Source organism: Homo sapiens, chromosome 17 (assembly GCF_000001405.40).
Source record: "Homo sapiens chromosome 17, GRCh38.p14 Primary Assembly".
Classification (NCBI taxonomy): domain Eukaryota; kingdom Metazoa; phylum Chordata; class Mammalia; order Primates; family Hominidae; genus Homo; species Homo sapiens.
Window position 1 is genome coordinate 76,290,382 of NC_000017.11, and position 16,172 is coordinate 76,306,553.

Consider the following 16,172-nt stretch of genomic DNA (forward strand, 5'->3'; position numbering starts at 1 on the left):
TTAAGTTTTGTTTTGTTTGAGACAGGGTCTTGCTCTGTCACCCAGGCTGGAGTGCAGTGATCCATCACAGCTCACTGCAACCTCTGCCTCCCTGGCTCCAACAATCTTCCCACCTCAGCTTCCCAAGTAGCTGGGACTACAGGTGTGTGCCACCACGCCTGGCTAATTTTTTTTTTGTTTTTTTTGGTAGAGATAGAGTTTTGCCACATTGCCTAGGCTGGTCTCGAACTCGGCCTCAAGCTATCCACCCAGCTCTGCTTCCCAAGGTGCTGGGATTACAGGTGTGAGCCATTGCTCCCAGTCAAAATGTTAAGTTTAATTCTTCAACATTCTCTCCCGCCCACCTCCCAATGCTACTGCTCTCTATAACCAGACACTTTCCCCCACTGCTGTGCAGAGAGCCTGACAAAGCCACAAGAACCCGCTCCACTCCTCTCCTGGGGCTTAGTTCTCTCCTTTGCCCACCCATTTTTTTGGACTCTGAAGGCTGTGGGACATGCTCTGAATGACATGCTGTTTTCAGGGACTCAGGGAGATGTGTAGCAGCCAGGAGTTGAGGCCAGGGGAAGAAAAGGATGAAACCAACTGAAAACAGAGACAATGGTTTCTCCTCTATCGGCAAGCGGCACCCACCCATCTGTGCCAGCAGGAACTGGATCTTCTCCAAGTCGGTTTGGCCGGCCTGCTCCTCATCCAGATCCTTCATACTCTCCTTTAGCCCCACATAGAGGCTACTGAGCTCTCCCATCAGATGAAATGTCTCCACTGCCGTGGGGAAACTAGAACTCATTCTACGCAGTGAATTGCGTCGCTCACTCAGGACTTCACTCGAGACTTCGCTCCCTTCTGATAAGACTCGGTCGACGGAGTCTGGACTCCTGAAAAGAGTGACATCTTGGCCTGGGGCCTTCTGGGCAGGAATTCCATGTCGGTCCGAGGCTCGTGTTCTATTTGGATCCAAACCTTCCTGGCCATGCTGATCAGCACTTAGATACCCTGGGCCACGATAACCAGGATACATTGAATCATGACTGTCAAAGAGAGAGAAAGCATGGCCATGCTGAGCTGCATCTGGGTATACCTGGTCATGCTCACCTGGGCCAGGTGATGCCACATGCTGTTGATCTGGGTGTGTAGATCCCAAACCTGTACTCAGTGGTATTGGGCTGTGCTGGTCTGTGCCAGGATGCATCAAACCTTGCTGATAAGTTTCTGGTGGTACCAAACTCCTTCGATCTATACCAGGTGATGCCAAACCTTGACTGGCTAGGAGTGGTGACACCTGGCCGTATTGTTCTCTGCCAGGAGGTACCATACCATGTTGATATGGACGTACTGATATAAAACCTGTAGAATCTGCCTGGAATGTTGAAGAGCCACGAAGCTTTGTGCCTGGTGCTATCAAGCCTGGCTGATATGCACCAGGTTGTCTCAAACCATACTGATCCATTCCTGGCTGCACCAGACCACGTGGATATGTCCCAGATTGAGATAAATCATGCAAATATGCACCAGGTTGTACCAAACCAAGAGGATAGGCACCAGGTTGTACCAGGCCATGTGGATCTGCCTGAGGTTGCACCATACCTTGCTGACCTATTCCAGGCTGCACCATACCCAGCTGACCTGCACCAGGCTGGACCAAACCAGGCTGATCTGCACCAGGTTGGATCAAACCACGCTGGTCCATTCCAGGTTGGACCAAACCACGCTGATCCACTCCAGGTTGCACCAAACCACGCTGATCCACTCCAGGTTGGACCAAACCACGCTGATCTGCACCAGGTTGGACCAAACCATGCTGAACTGCACCAGGTTGGACCAAACCACGCTGAACTGCACCAGGTTGAACCAAACCACGCTGATCCACTCCAGGTTGGACCAAACCACGCTGAACTGCACCAGGTTGCACCAAACCACGCTGAACTGCACCAGGTTGCACCAAACCACGCTGAACTATACCAGGTTGCACCAAACTACGCTGAACTTCACCAGGTTGTGCCAAACCATGCTGATCCACTCCAGGTTGGACCAAACCATGCTGATCTGCACCAGGTTGGACCAAACCACGCTGATCTGCACCAGGTGGGACCAAACCACGCTGATGATCTGCACGAGGTTGTGCCAAACCACGCTGATCTACTCCAGGTTGGACCAAACCATGCTGAACTGCACCAGGTTGAGCCAAATCACTCTGATCTGCACCAGATTGTACCAAACCATGCTGATCTGCACCAGGTTGCACCACATCAATCTGATCTGCACCAGGTTGGACCAAGCCAGGCTGATATGCACCAGGCTGCACCAAAGCACGCTGAAATCTGCCAGGTTGGACCATGCCAGGCTGATCTACACCAGGCTGTACCAAGACACCCTGACCTGTGCCAGATTGGACCAAATCATGCTGACCTGTGCCAGGCTGGATCAAACCATGCTGATCTCTACCAGGTTGGGCCAAACCAGACTGATCCATTCCAGGCCAGACCAAACCACGCTGATCTGCACCAGGTTGGGCCAAACCAGACTGATCCATTCCAGGCCGGACCAAACCACGCTGATCTGCACCAGGTTGGACCAAGCCAGGCTGATATGCACCACGCTGCACCAAAGCACGCTGAAATCTGCCAGACTGGATCAAATCATGCTGCTCTGTGCCAGGTTGTATGAAGCCAGTTGCTTCCAAACTGGGCTGCACAAAACCTTGCTGATCTGCACTAATTGGCATCAAACCAGGTGATACCAAACCATGCTGGTCTGTAAAAGGTAGAACCAGGCCATGTTGATCGACGACAGGCAATGTCAATCCTTGCTGGTCTATACCAGGGGGTACTAGTCCTTGCTGACCCATGCCTGATATTACACATCCACGCTGATCCATGCCAAGTGGTTCCATACTGCGTTGGTCTGTGCCAGGAAATGTCATACCATGCTGATATGCACTGACTGAAACCAGACCATGTTGGTCTGTGCTAGGTAGTTCCAATCCTTGCTGGTCTCTGCCAGGTACTGATGGTGGCAACATACGTTGCTCATCCACGACAAATGGTATCAATTCCCGATCATCCATTTCAGGTGGTGGCACACCAAGCTGACCCATGCTGAGGGGTACCACACCATGTGGGTAAGTGCTAGCAGGCACTAATCCAGGCTGATTCATGCCAGTTGGTTCTAACCCACGACGATCTGGCCTTAGATGGACCTGACTCTGGCTAGCGGGCACACTACTGGGCTGGTCTCTGGCCAAGGGTAAGTCCTGTTGAACTGGACCAGGACGTGCATTTCTTCTTGGTTGTGTCGAGGTAAGCTTCTCTCTACTCCTGTGACGATCTGAGTCTGATTTGAATTGGAATGTAGAAGACTGATGGAGTCGTGGCACGCCAGCTTCATCACGGGCCCTCGGCTGCTGCTGTCTCCCAGTACCAGAGGGGACCTTGCTTTGTTCCCTACTGGAAACCCCATCAGAGGGGTGTGCTGTGCCACCAGATCCTGATGCAGTCCGATCCGGGCCAAGACCACTGGCAGAATCCAGAGCCTGCTCAATACTTGGTTGCTTGGTAGAGTCTCCGCTTAGAGTCCCTTCAGGTGATGTTAAGGAAGTGAACCCTCCGTGCTTAGAAAATCCCATAAGTGTTTCTGAGCCCTGGTTGGAGAGGAAGAAGGAAATCAATAACAGTCAAAATATTCACTATCAGAGTGGGAAGAAAGGAAATCTGGAAGTTCTGACTAGGATGATTTAGGGCCCCTGGAGAAAAAAGCCCTCTGGTCCTAAAAGCTAAGCTTGACATAAAGAAACACACTGATGGGAGGCCGAGGCGGGTGGATTACTTGAGATCAGGAGTTCGAGACCAGCCTGACCAATATGGTGAAACCCTATCTCTACTAAAAATACAAAATTAGCCAGGCGTGGTGGCATGTGTCTGTAATCTCAGCTACTCAGGAAGCTGAGGCAGGAGAATTGCTTGAACCTGGGAGATGGAGGTTGCCGTGAGATTGTGCCATTGTGCTCCAGCCTGGGTGACAAGAGTGAAACTCCATCTCAAAAAAAAGAAAAGGAAAAGAAACACACTGACGTTCTGGGAGGCTAGGTCTCCATATTTTTGAGACTCTGCATATTTGAAAATGGCATGTACAAAAATATGTAATTTTTGTGGCCAGGTGCGGTGGCTTATGCTTATAGTCCCAGCACTTTGGGAGGCCAAGGCGGGTGGATCATTTGAGGTCAGGACTTTGAGACCTGCCTGGCCAACATGGCAAAACCCCATCTCTACTGAAAATACAAAAATTAGCTGGGTGTGATAGTGCATGCCTGTAATCCCAGCTACTCAGGAGACTGAGGCAGGAGAATCGCTTGAACCCGGGAGGTGGAGGTTGCAGTGAGCCGAGATTGCACCATTGCACTCCAGCCTGGGTGACAGAGTGAGACTCCTTCTCAAAAAAAAAAAAAAAAGTGTAATTTTTCTTCATAAAAGATGGGGAAAACTGCAAAATACAAGTGATCTCTCTGGACTTTTGCTTAGCCTTTAAATAAAGGACATAAGTAATTTATTAAGTTTAAAATATAAAGTCTGGGTCTGGCACGGTGGCTCATGCCTGTAATCCCAGCACTTTGGGAGGCCGAGGTGGGCAGATCACAAGGTCAAGAGATTGAGACCATCCTGGCCAACATGATGAAACCCCGTCTCTACTAAAAACAAATAAATAAATAAATAAATAAATAAATAAATAAAATTAGCTGGGTGTGGTGGCACGTGCCTGTCGTCCCAGCTACTTGGGAGGACAAGTCATGAGAATCGCCTGAACCCAGGAGGCAGAGGTTACAGTGAGCTGAGATCGCACCACTGCACTTCAGCCTGGGTGACAGAGCAAGACTCCATCTCAAAAAATAAATAAATAAAATAAAATAAAATATAAAGTTTGCTCCATTGTTGACCCATTGCTGCTGATAAAAGTGTATACTGGAATGCATGTAAACCATATATTTAAAATGTATAGGCTGGGCACAGTGGCTCACGCCTGTCATCCCAGCATTTTGGGAGACCAAGGCAGGTGGATCATTTGAGGTCAGGAGTTCAAGACCAGCTTGGCCAACATGGTGAAACCTGGTCTCTACTAAAAATATAAAATATTAGCCAGGTGTGGTACTGCACACCTGTAATCCCAGCTACTCAGGAGAATCACTTGAACCCAAAAGGCAGAGGATGCAGTGAGCCGAGATCACGCCACTGCACTCCAGCCTGTGCAACAGAGCGAGACACCATCTCAAAAAGAAATAAATAAATAAAATGTAAACATGCAAACCCATGGACCCAGAAACTCCATAGACAGGAATTTTCTCTATGAATCCTCACCAAAGGATGCCAAGCTATACATACAATGATGGGGTCTGCAGCATCTTGATAAAATAGATCATCAATAAGGGACTGAGATATTTCTGGTCACCAATACAGTAGATGCTATGAATCCATGAAAAAGAAGAATGAACCACTGCCATTTCCAGCCAAGATGAAGTTAACAGGGGCTGGATTTACCCTCCTGTCTGTGACAAGAAAAAACAAAACTGAGGCTGGGCGCAGTGGCTCACGCCTGTAATCCCAGCACTTTGGGAGTCCGATGTGGGTGGATCATGAGGTCAGGAGTTCAAGACCAGCCTGACCAACATGGTGAAACCCCGTCTCTACTAAAAATACAAAAACTAGCTGGGTGTGGTGGCACATGCCTGTAATCCCAGCTACTTAGGAGGCTGAGGCAGGAGAATTGCTTGAACCCAGAAGTCGGAGGTTGCAGTGAGCCGAGATAGCACCATTGCACTCCAGCCTGGGAGACAGAGTGAGACTCTATCTCAAAAAAACAAACAAACCCAACAACAGCTATGAAACGGTGGTTTCCTACATACTGGATATCAAGTTATGAAGGACAATAATCCCCAAGCGGTGGAGAAAGGAAAACTGGGAAGCCTGTATCACCCTGGCTTGCTGCCTTGCTGGAGTTTCCAGACTGCAGTGCAGGGAGGGGGAATTGAGGTGGAGTCTGGCAGACTCTCTGAGTTGAGGAGACAGAAGTGAGCATTCAGGGAGATTCAGGCAACTGAAGGTCACAGGATAGAGTATCAGAAAGAAGGGAGTTATCCAGGCGTGGTGGCTCATGCCTGTAATCCCAGAACTTTCAGTGGGTGGATTACCCGAGGTTAGCAGTTTGAGACCAGCCTGGCCAACAAGGCGAAACCCCATCTCTACTAAAAATACAAAAGTTAGCCAGGCACAGTGGCACATGCTTGTAGTCGCAGCTACTTGGGAGGCTGAGGCAGGAGAATCACTTGAACCCAGGAGGCGGAGGTTGCAGTGAGCTGAGATCACACCACTGCACTCCGGCCTGGGCAACAGAGCATGGCTCTGTCTCAAAAAAAAAAAAAAAAAAAAATAACCAGAAAGAAGGGAGATGACAGAAAGCCCACTCCCACTCCAGAGGTCTGTGGAGGATCCCCTCCGAGTGATGAGCACGCATTTGATGAGTACATGCATGTGGGGAGACGTCCCAAGATTGGGGAAAGAACCACCTGCAGGGCTTGAAGAAGCAGTGCCCTGCCTGCCATGGGGCTGGAAATGGTGCCTGTTCTTATCAACCAGTTTGGAAAAACTCATCATTCAAGTAGCACAGAGCAGAGTGTACTCAGAAAAGTGTTGCCTCAGAAATGGAGAATAATCAGCCCTAGACTGAACACACCTATGGACCCACCTAACAAATCATAAAATCATAAAAGCAAGGCCTGAAGCAATCAAACTGTTTTTAAGTAGCTGTGTCCTGGGGGAAACAGGCTCAATAAAATGTATAAGAATACAAAAATATGGCCGGGTGTGGTGTCCCACACCGGTAATCCCAACACTTTGGGAGGCCAACGCGGGAGGATCACCTGAGTGCAGGAGTTCGGAACCAGCCTGGCCAACATGGTGAAACCCCGTCTCTACTAAAAATACAAAAATTAGCCAGGCATGGTGGCACACACCTGTAATCCCAGCTACTCAGGAGGCTGAGGCAGGAGAATCGCTTGAACCCAGGAGGCGGAGATTGCAGTGAGCAGAGATTGTGCCACTGCACTCCGGCCTGGGCGACACAGCAAGACTCCATCTCAAAAGAAAAAAAAAATACAAAAATATGTACCATCCAATGCAGGAAAAGTCACAATGGCTGGCACCTGATCAAAGATTGCCAGGCATACAAAGAGGCAGGAAGACATGACCCATAATGAGGAGATAACTCAACCAACTGAGACCAACTCAACACTGGCATATGTGTTAGAATTAGCAGAGATGGATATTAAAACAGTTATTATGGCTACACACACACAAGCACACACTTTAGAGACAGGGTCTCACTCTGTCACTCAGTCTGGAGTGCAGTGGCATGATCACAGCTCACTGCAACCTTTAACTCCTGGGCTCAAGCAATCTTCCCCCTTCAGCCTCCCAAGTAGCTAGGACTACTTAGGAATCTGTTTTTTTTTTTTTTTTTTTTTTTTTTGAGACAGAGTCTTGCTGTGTCACCCAGGCTGGAGTGCAGTGGCACAATCTCAGCTCACTGAAACCTCCGCCTCCAAGTTTCCAGTGCCTCAGCCTCCTGAGTAGATGGGATCACAGGCACGCACCACCATGCCCGGCTAATTTTTTGAATTTTTCAGTAAAGATGGGGTTTCACCATGTAGGCCAGGCTGGTCTTGAACTCCTGACTTCAGGTGATCCATCCACCTCAGCCTCCCAAAGTGCTGGGATTACAGGCATGAGCCACGCTGCCTGGCTTTCTGGCTAATTTTTTTTTTTTTTTTTTTTGAGACGGAGTCTCACTCTGTCACCCAGGCTGGAGTGCAGTGGTGCAATGTCGGCTCACTGCAAGCTCCACCTCCCGGCGCCATTCTCCTGCCTCAGCCTCCCGAGTAGCTGGGACTACAGGCGCCCACCACCACGCCCGGATAATTTTTTTGTATTTTTAGTAGAGACGGGGTTTCACCGTGTTAGCCAGGATGGTCTTGATCTCCTGACCTGGTGATCCGCCCGCCTCAGCCTCCCAAAGTGCTGGGATTACAGGCATGAGCCACTGCCCCCGGCCACGTGACCTTTTAAAAACTTTTTGTAGAGACGGGGTCTTAATATGTTGCCTAGGCTGGTCTCAAACTCCTGGCCTCAAGCACTTCTCCCGCCTTGACTTTAAGTACTGGAATTAAAGGCGTGAGCAACCATGTCTGACCTCTTTGTCTTTTTTTTAAGACAGAGTCTCGCTCTGTCGCCCAGGCTGGAGTTCAGTGGCGCGATCTCGGCTCACTGCAACCTCTGCCTCCCGGGTTCAAGCGATTCTCCTGCCTCGGCCTCCCGAGTAGCTGGGATTACAGGCGCATGCCACCACGCCCGGCTAATTTTTATATTTTTAGTAGAGATGGGGCTTCACCATATTGGTCAGGCTGGTCTCAAATTCCCGACCTCAAGTGATCCGTCTGCCTCGGCTTCCCAAAGTGCTGGAATTATAGGTGTGAGCCACAGCGCCCGGCCCTGAGTGTAGTTTTTATTTGCTTTTGTAGCTTTTCAAACTTTCTTTACAGTCTGTCCTGAAATGCAGGGATCTTTCCTTATTAGTGGGCCATGGTGACAGACCCTGGAAATAAAACTTCTGTAGGGGGCCCTCTGCTGATGGCAACTTTTGCACACAGGCATGCATCTGTCTGTCTTGAGACAGTGTACAGATGACCAAATTGTTTTCCGATCGCCAACCTACCTTCACCTGAATAAAATCAAGCTGAATATGTTCAAATGGCCCTCAAAGATGAGGCTTAACTTCCCTTTTGGTCTTGACATCCCTCCCGCTGGCTTTGGGCTAGTGGGTTATCAAAACAAGCAAGCCAACTTTGAGGGCCATTTGAAAATGTAGACGGAAGCAGGGTGAAGAGTAAAGCTTTTGGCGCCACCAAGTGGCCATCTTGGGGAGCGCCAAATATCTGGGTACAAAAGACAACCTGGGATCTCCAGGACCATTTTCTGATTTCAGGGCTCATTCTCAGAGGAAAGCGGCATCAGAAAGATGTTGCAAGAGGGGCCGGGCGCGGTGGCTCCAGCCTGTAATCCTAGCACTTTGGGAAGCCGAGGCGGGCGGATCACCTGAGGTCAGAAGTTCGAGCCCAGCCTGGACAACATGGTGAAACCCTGTCCCTAGTAAAAATACAAAAATTAGCTGGGCGTGATGGTGGGCGCCTGTAATCTCAGCTACTCGGGAGACTGAGGCAGGAGAATCATTTGAACCCAGGAGGTGAACGTTGCAGTGAGCCAAGATTGCGCCACTGCACTCCAGCATGGGCGACAAAGCAAGACTGTCTCAAAAAACAAAACTAAACGATATTGCAAGAGGACCCTGAACACAAAAGGAATGGACTAGAAAAAAGTGGCCTCCACTTTCACTTTTTTAAAGCCAAACCTTTTTTTTTTTTGAGACGGAGTTTCGCTCTTGTTGCCCAGGCTGGAGTGCAGTGATGCGATCTCGGCTCACTGCAACCTCCGCCTTCCGGTGGTTTCAAGCGAGTCTCCTGCCTCAGCCTCCCGAATAGCTGGGACTACAGGCACACACCACCACGCCCAGCTAACTTTTTGTATTTTTAGTAGAGACGGGGTTTCACCATGTTGGTCAGGATGGTCTCGATCTCTTGACCTTGTGATCTGCCTGCCTCGGCCTCCCAAAGTGCTGGAATTACAGGCGTGAGCCACCGCACCTGGCCAAGCCAAATCTTTTTTGCACATGCCACTATCGTACTGTTTTTACCGAGCAGTACATCTTCTCAGGGTGATGGCGGCAGACACCATGAGACTTACACATAAGCATAGACACCTTTAAACATTTTTACTTCTCCAGAGGTAAGAAAGCATGTGCGTTTGATTACTGCTCATAATTATGAACAACTCCAAAAGCAAATAAAGATAAATATAAATATTAAAAGATTGTTGAGAAGCAAGAGAACAAGCTCTGGTAATGGCCACTTCAGCCCTCGCACAGACCAGGATGAAAGCAGTGGGGGAGTGCCACTAGCCCCAGGTAAGCACATACAACACACCTGAGACAAATATGACCTGAGACCAATTTGACCTGCCTGCATGGTTGGTAGAGTCCTTTAGCATAAACGTAAAATAAAGATTTTGAAACTGGGTGTTAACCTCCATTATGGGTTTTGGCAGACAGTGGTGACTTTATGGAAATTGTGCGGTGTGCCTGCATCATGAGTAGAGGGCCAGGATTGAGACTGGGTGCAGTGGCTCAATCCCAGCACTATGGGAGGCCAAGGCTGGCAGACTGCTCGAGGCCAGGAGTTTGAGACCAGCCTGGGCAACATGGCAAAAACCTTTCTACAAAATACAAAATATGACCAGGCATGGTGGCTCACGCCTGTAATCCCAGCACTTTGGGAGGCCAAGGCAGGCAGATCACCCGAGGTCAGGAGTTTAAGACCAGCCTGGCCAACACGGTGAAACCCCATCTTTACTAAAAATACAAAAAAATTAGCCGGGCGTGGTGGTGGGCACCTGTAATCCCAGCTACTCGGGAGGCTGAGGCAGGAGAATCACTTGAGCTCGGGAGGTGGAGGTTGCAGTGAGCCAAGATCATGCCACTGCACTCCAGCCTGGGCAACAGAGCAAGACTCTGTCTCAAAAATGCAAAATATTAGTCAGGTGTGGTGGCATGCACCTGTAGTCCCAGGTACTCAGGAGGCTGAGGTGAGAGGATCACTTGAGTCCAGGAGGTCGAGGTTGCAGTAAGCCCTTATGGTACCACTGCACTCCAGCCTGGGCAGCAGAGCAAGACTGTCTCAAAAATATTTTTTCTTTAACATGCCCTAACATTACAACAAATGAGCCAAAATCTTGAACAAAATATATGATAGGCCAGGGCGGTAGCTCATGCCTGTAATCCCAGCCCTTTGGGAGGCCGAGGCGGGTGGATCACTTGAGCTCTGGAGTTTGAGACCAGCCTGGGCAACATGACAACACCTTGTCTCTACTAAAAATACAAAAATTAGCTAGGTATGGTGGTACGCACCTGTGGTCCCAACTACCGGGGAGGCTGAGGCAGGAGGATTGCTTGAGCCCCAGAGGGGAAGGTTGCAGTGAGCCGAGATCACACCACTGCACTCCAGCCTGGGTGACGACAGAGACTCTGTCTCAAAAAAAATGAAGAAGTCCATTTGGGACTCAAAATACATTCACTGATTCTAAGATGGACATCCTGCCCCGACACCCACACATACATTTTAACATCTCTGAAATCAGGATGTATCTTAGAGTTGGTGGTGTTTTATAATTTTTTTTTTTTTTTTTGAGACAGGGTCTCACTCTGTCACCCAGGTTGGACTGCAGTGGTGCAATCTCGGCTCACTGCAACCTCTGCCTCCCAGGTTCTATAGATTCTCCTGCTTCAGCCTCCCAAGTAGCTGGGATTACAGGCTCCTGCCACCACACCTGGCTAATTTTGTGTGTGTGTGTGTGTGTGTGTGTGTGTGTGTGTGTGTGTGTGTGAGACAGAGTCTCACTCTGTCAGCTAGGCTGGAGTGCAGTGGCACGATCTTAGCTCACTGCAACTTCGTTTCCCGGGTTCAAATGATTTTCCTGCCTCAGCCTCCCAAGTGCTTGGGATTACAGGCATGTGCCACCACACCCGGCTAATTTTTGTATTTTTAGTAGAGATGGCGTTTCACCATGTTGGCCAGGCTGGTCTCCAACTCCTGACCTCAGGTGATCCCCCACCTCAGCCTCCCAAAGTGCTGGGATTCCAGCTGTGAGCCACCGCGCCGGCCGGCACTCATTATTTATAATTCCTGTCATCCTCAGAAATGACAGGAGTCTCATCTGATGCCCTTAATGAAAACTGTACCGACCTTTCTAGGACCCCGTTTCCCCCCCACCCCACCCCCACCTCTGTAGCTGTCATGTCCATTTGTCTAGGACTTCAAGGTGTTTGTTCTGAAAAACCATTATTTTGGTTTTAGTCACTATGGTGTGCTGAATATAAACTCCCAAAGATATCCATGTCCCCATCCCCTGAACCTGGGAGCATTACCTTACGTGGTAAAAGGGACTTTGCAGGTACAATTAAGGATCTTGAGACGGAGGGAGTATCCCGGATTATCCGGGTGGATGCAGTGATGAAGTCACAAAGGTCTTTACAAGAAGGAGGCTGAAGCTGATATGGCCAGAACCAGGGGCTGCCAGCCACACTTAGAGGCTGAAAATGACCAGGAAATGGATTCTCCCCCCAGAGCTGCCAGAGGAAACCAGCCCTGCCAACACCTTGACTTCTGCCCAGTGAAACTGGTACTGGCCTTGTGTCCTCCCGAACTGTAAGATAACAGATCTGTGTGGTTTTAAGCCACACAGATCGGTCTCTGGTCATTTGTTGGAACAGCCACAAGAAGCGCATACTGTCCCCTTTTTCCTCCCGAGGCACTGCATGACTGACTGGTTAGTCTTTCCAGTTTACCTACTTTTGTTTTTTTTTTTGAGATGGAGTTCTTGCTCTTGTGGCCCAGGCTAGAGTGCAGTGGTGAGATCTCAGCTCACTGCAACCTCCGCCTCCCGAGTTCAAGCGATTCTTCTGCCTCAGTCTCCTGAGTAACTGCGATTACAGGTGTGCACCACCACACCCACCTAATTTTTGTATTTTTGGTAGGGACAGGGTTTCATCATGTTGTCCAGGCTGGGCTCGAACTCCTGAACGCAAGTGATCCGCCCCCCTCGACTTCTCAAAGTGCTGGGATTACAGGCTGGAGCCACCGCGCCCGGCCCCTCTTGCAACATCTTTCTGATGCCGCTTTCCTCTGAGAATGAGCCCTGAAATCAGAAAATGGTCCTGGAGATCCCAGGTTGTTTTTTGTACCCAGATATTTGGCGCTCCCCAAGATGGCCACTTGGTGGCGCCAAAAGCTTTACTCTTCACCCTGCTTCCGTCTACATTTTCAAATGGCCCTCAAAGTTGGCTTGCTTGTTTTGATAACCCACTAGCCCAAAGCCAGCGGGAGGGATGTCAAGACCAAAAGGGAAGTTAAGCCTCATCTTTGAGGGCCATTTGAATATATCCAGCTTGATTTTAATCAGATGAAAGTAGGTCGGGGATCGGAAAACAATTTGGTCATCTGTACACTGTCTCAAGACAGACAGATGCATGCCTGTGTGCAAAAGTCGCCACCAGCGGCCGGGCGCGGTGGCTCACGCCTGTAATCCCAGCACTTTGGGAGGCCGAGGCGGGCGGATCACGAGGTGAGGAGATCGAGACTTTCCTGGGCAACACCGTGAAACCCCGTCTCTACTAAAAATACAAAAAGAAATTAGCCAGGCGTGGTGGTGGGCGCCTGTAGTCCCAGCTACTCTGGAGGCTGAGACAGGAGAATGGCGTGAACCCGGGAGGCGGAGCTTGCAGTGAGCCGAGATCGCGCCACTGCACTCCAGCCTGGGTAATAGAGCAAAACTCTGTCTCAAAAAAAAAAAAAAAAAAAAAGTCGCCACCAGCAAAGGGCCCCCTACAGAGGTTTTACTTCCAGGGTCTGTCACCATGGTCCACTAATAAGGAAAGATCCCTGCATTTCAGGACAGACTGTAAAGAAAGTTTGAGAAGGTATAAAAGCAAATAAAAACTACACTCAGGTACGATTTTTCTATTGATCCAGTGGGTTGGCAAAGCTAAAAAAATTGGGTACCAACCATACAGCGCTGGGGGGATGTCAGGGAACAAGCTCTCTCTCCCATTGATGGTGGGGGTCTACACTGGAACAGCAGCCATGGAAGGCAATTTATCAATGGCTAGCCAAATCACTAACACACATCCCTTTCTAGGGATGCATGTTATTCACACGTGAATGACACCTTGTTCTTAAGATTGGAAAAAGCATTTAAAACACCCATATCAATGAAACTTGCGAACTATGAATATCCATAGAACAGAATCCTGTGCAGCTGTACAAAGCGAGAAGTTCTGGGGAGCCCCACCCAAGACCACGGCCCAGGCCCCCACTGGTTCACCGCTTGTGAGGCTCTCCAGCCGTCCGTAATCGCCTGCTCCAGCTCTTCCCAGGTGACCATGGTGACTTCTTCTGCACCAGGAACCAAACTCAGCTTCCGGCTGACTAGTTCCTGACAGTGACAGAAAAGACACACACATACACCCCTTGATTAATCCCAAGCAGCTTTAGGAACAGACTTGGTCTAACAGGATCTGGGTGGGTCCTTCACAGCCCCAGCCCCAGGGAGAATTCATCACCCTTCAAGTGACCAGTGAAGGTTGGGCAGCCAGTTATCTGTCCCATGTGAGCACCCAGCAGAGCGCTGGGCAGGGCTGGGGCAGATTTCCCTCCAACCCTGGGGCAGAGACTTGAGAGGCAGAGGGCACACACTGCCTGCCCTGGATGGACAAGCCCTGGAGAGAGGGCCACACTGAGAGACGGCCAGCCCCCTGGAGAGCCCTTTCCCATGGAACTGGCTGGTATTACCAGGAATTGCTCCCGATCTTTGAATAGCTTCTCTAGTTCATCAACCCGCTGTAAAAGTACCTGGAAGAAGAGTTCAGGAAAGGAGAATGACAGTGGCCCCTACACACGCACACTCACATGCACACACACACAGATGCGCACACACACTCTCACACTCAGACACACACATGCATACACGCACATTCACACACTGACTCAGTGCCAGGAGACGAGGAAAGGGGGAATTTGTGTGGCTCTTATGGAAAGGGAGGGTTTCTTCTTCTACTTGGGTTTTTTTGGTTTCCTTTTTTTTTTTTTTTTGAGACAGGGTCTTGCTCTGTCACCCAAGCTGCAGTGCAGTGATGCCACCACAGCTCACTGCAGCCTCAACCTCTCAGGCTCAAGCGATCCTCCCACCTCAGCCTCCTGAGTAGCTGGGACTTCAGGCATGCACCACCACATCCAGCTAATTTTAAACATTTTTTTGTAGAGATAAGATCTTGCAATGTTGCCCAGGCTGGTCTTGAACTCCTGGGTCCGAGCAATCCTCCAGCCTCGGCCTCCCACAGTGCTGAGATTACAGGCAGGAGCCCCTGCTTTCTACCTGGTTTTTACCTGGCCAGTCAGCCCAGGCTCCTGGGTCTTTTCCCAGCCAAGTGCAGGAAGGGAAGTGAGATGCAGTGGGGGACCTGGCTGGTAGCATGGCAGGAGTAAGTGCTGCTGCAGGGATGGGACCCTTTGGTCCTGGGATTCAGTTTGCTCCAACCCACTTGTGAAAGCCTGTAGGATGAGGCCCACCTTGCCTTACAAGGAAGGAAGGGTGCCAGGTACCTCAACAGTAGCTGAACATCTGTGCTATCTAAAGAGAAAAGCACCTCAAAAGAACCAAAGCAAATCGCTACAACATAAGGTGCTATCATATTTGGGATTAAGAAAAAATATATTAATAAACAAAAATAAAACAAGTTACTTTTTATAACTTTTGCAAACTTCTAGAATCTAAGATTACGTAAAAATTAAAACAAAAGGCCAGGCGCAGTGGCTCTTGCCTGTAATCCCAACACTTTGGGAAGCCGAGGCAGGAGGATCACTTTAGGTCAGGAGTTCGAGACCAGCCTGGCCAACACGGCAAAACCCCATCTCTACTAAAAGTACAAAAGTTAGCTGGGCATGGTGGTGTGCACCTATAATCCTAGCTACTCGGGAAGCCGAGGCAGGAGAATTCCTTGAACCCAGGAGATGGAGTTGCAGTGAGCCGACAATGCACCACTGCACTCCAGCCTGGGTGACAGAGTGAGAATGTGTCTCAAAAAAAAAAAAAAAAAAAAAAAAACCCAAAAAAATTAAAACAAAAAAAACCCCCACCACACTTTAAAGTTTGAAAAGGAAAGCAGACATGCTTCCCAGAGCAAAAGTGAGTTGGTGCTGCGGTCTCGAGACCTGGGGTGATATGGCAGGAGGGCATGAGCGGCCAGGGCTCCCCTGCTGGGGCTTGGCCTCTTCTTCCTGCCTCTTCCCGGCCTCTTTTTCCCCTCCTGTCTCTCCTCTTGGCCTCCCCACCCAGCTGCCTTCCTAGTTGCTTCTGCTTTTTCTTTCAGAACCAACCTAAGGTGGCTCTGAGACATGCACGTGTCTATTACCTCCTGGCGCTGACCTGCGTTGCTTCCTGCTGTTCACTGGACAATACTTATAC

The 16,172-nt window shown here is 49.6% G+C and overlaps 1 protein-coding gene across 11 annotated transcripts in view; it reads right to left on the minus strand.

Annotated features, from left to right (window-relative positions):
* Positions 1-16,172, minus strand: part of QRICH2 (glutamine rich 2) — a 36,916-nt gene that overhangs the window by 16,333 nt on the left and 4,411 nt on the right. For 5 of the 11 annotated variants that reach the window (XM_047436911.1, NM_032134.3, NM_001388453.1 and 2 more), the window contains exons 2-4: positions 14,501-14,560; positions 14,034-14,144; positions 634-3,640 (exon numbers count right to left, since the gene is read on the minus strand). In XM_047436911.1, coding sequence (XP_047292867.1) covers positions 634-3,640; positions 14,034-14,093 — 3,067 coding nt within the window. In that variant the 5' untranslated portion in view covers positions 14,094-14,144; positions 14,501-14,560. Of the gene's footprint in view, positions 1-633; positions 5,042-11,061; positions 11,160-12,078; positions 12,570-14,033; positions 14,145-14,500; positions 14,561-16,172 lie in introns of those variants that run through there. The other 6 variants (NR_130649.2, XM_017025207.3, XM_011525344.3 and 3 more) reach the window with 6 other exon arrangements.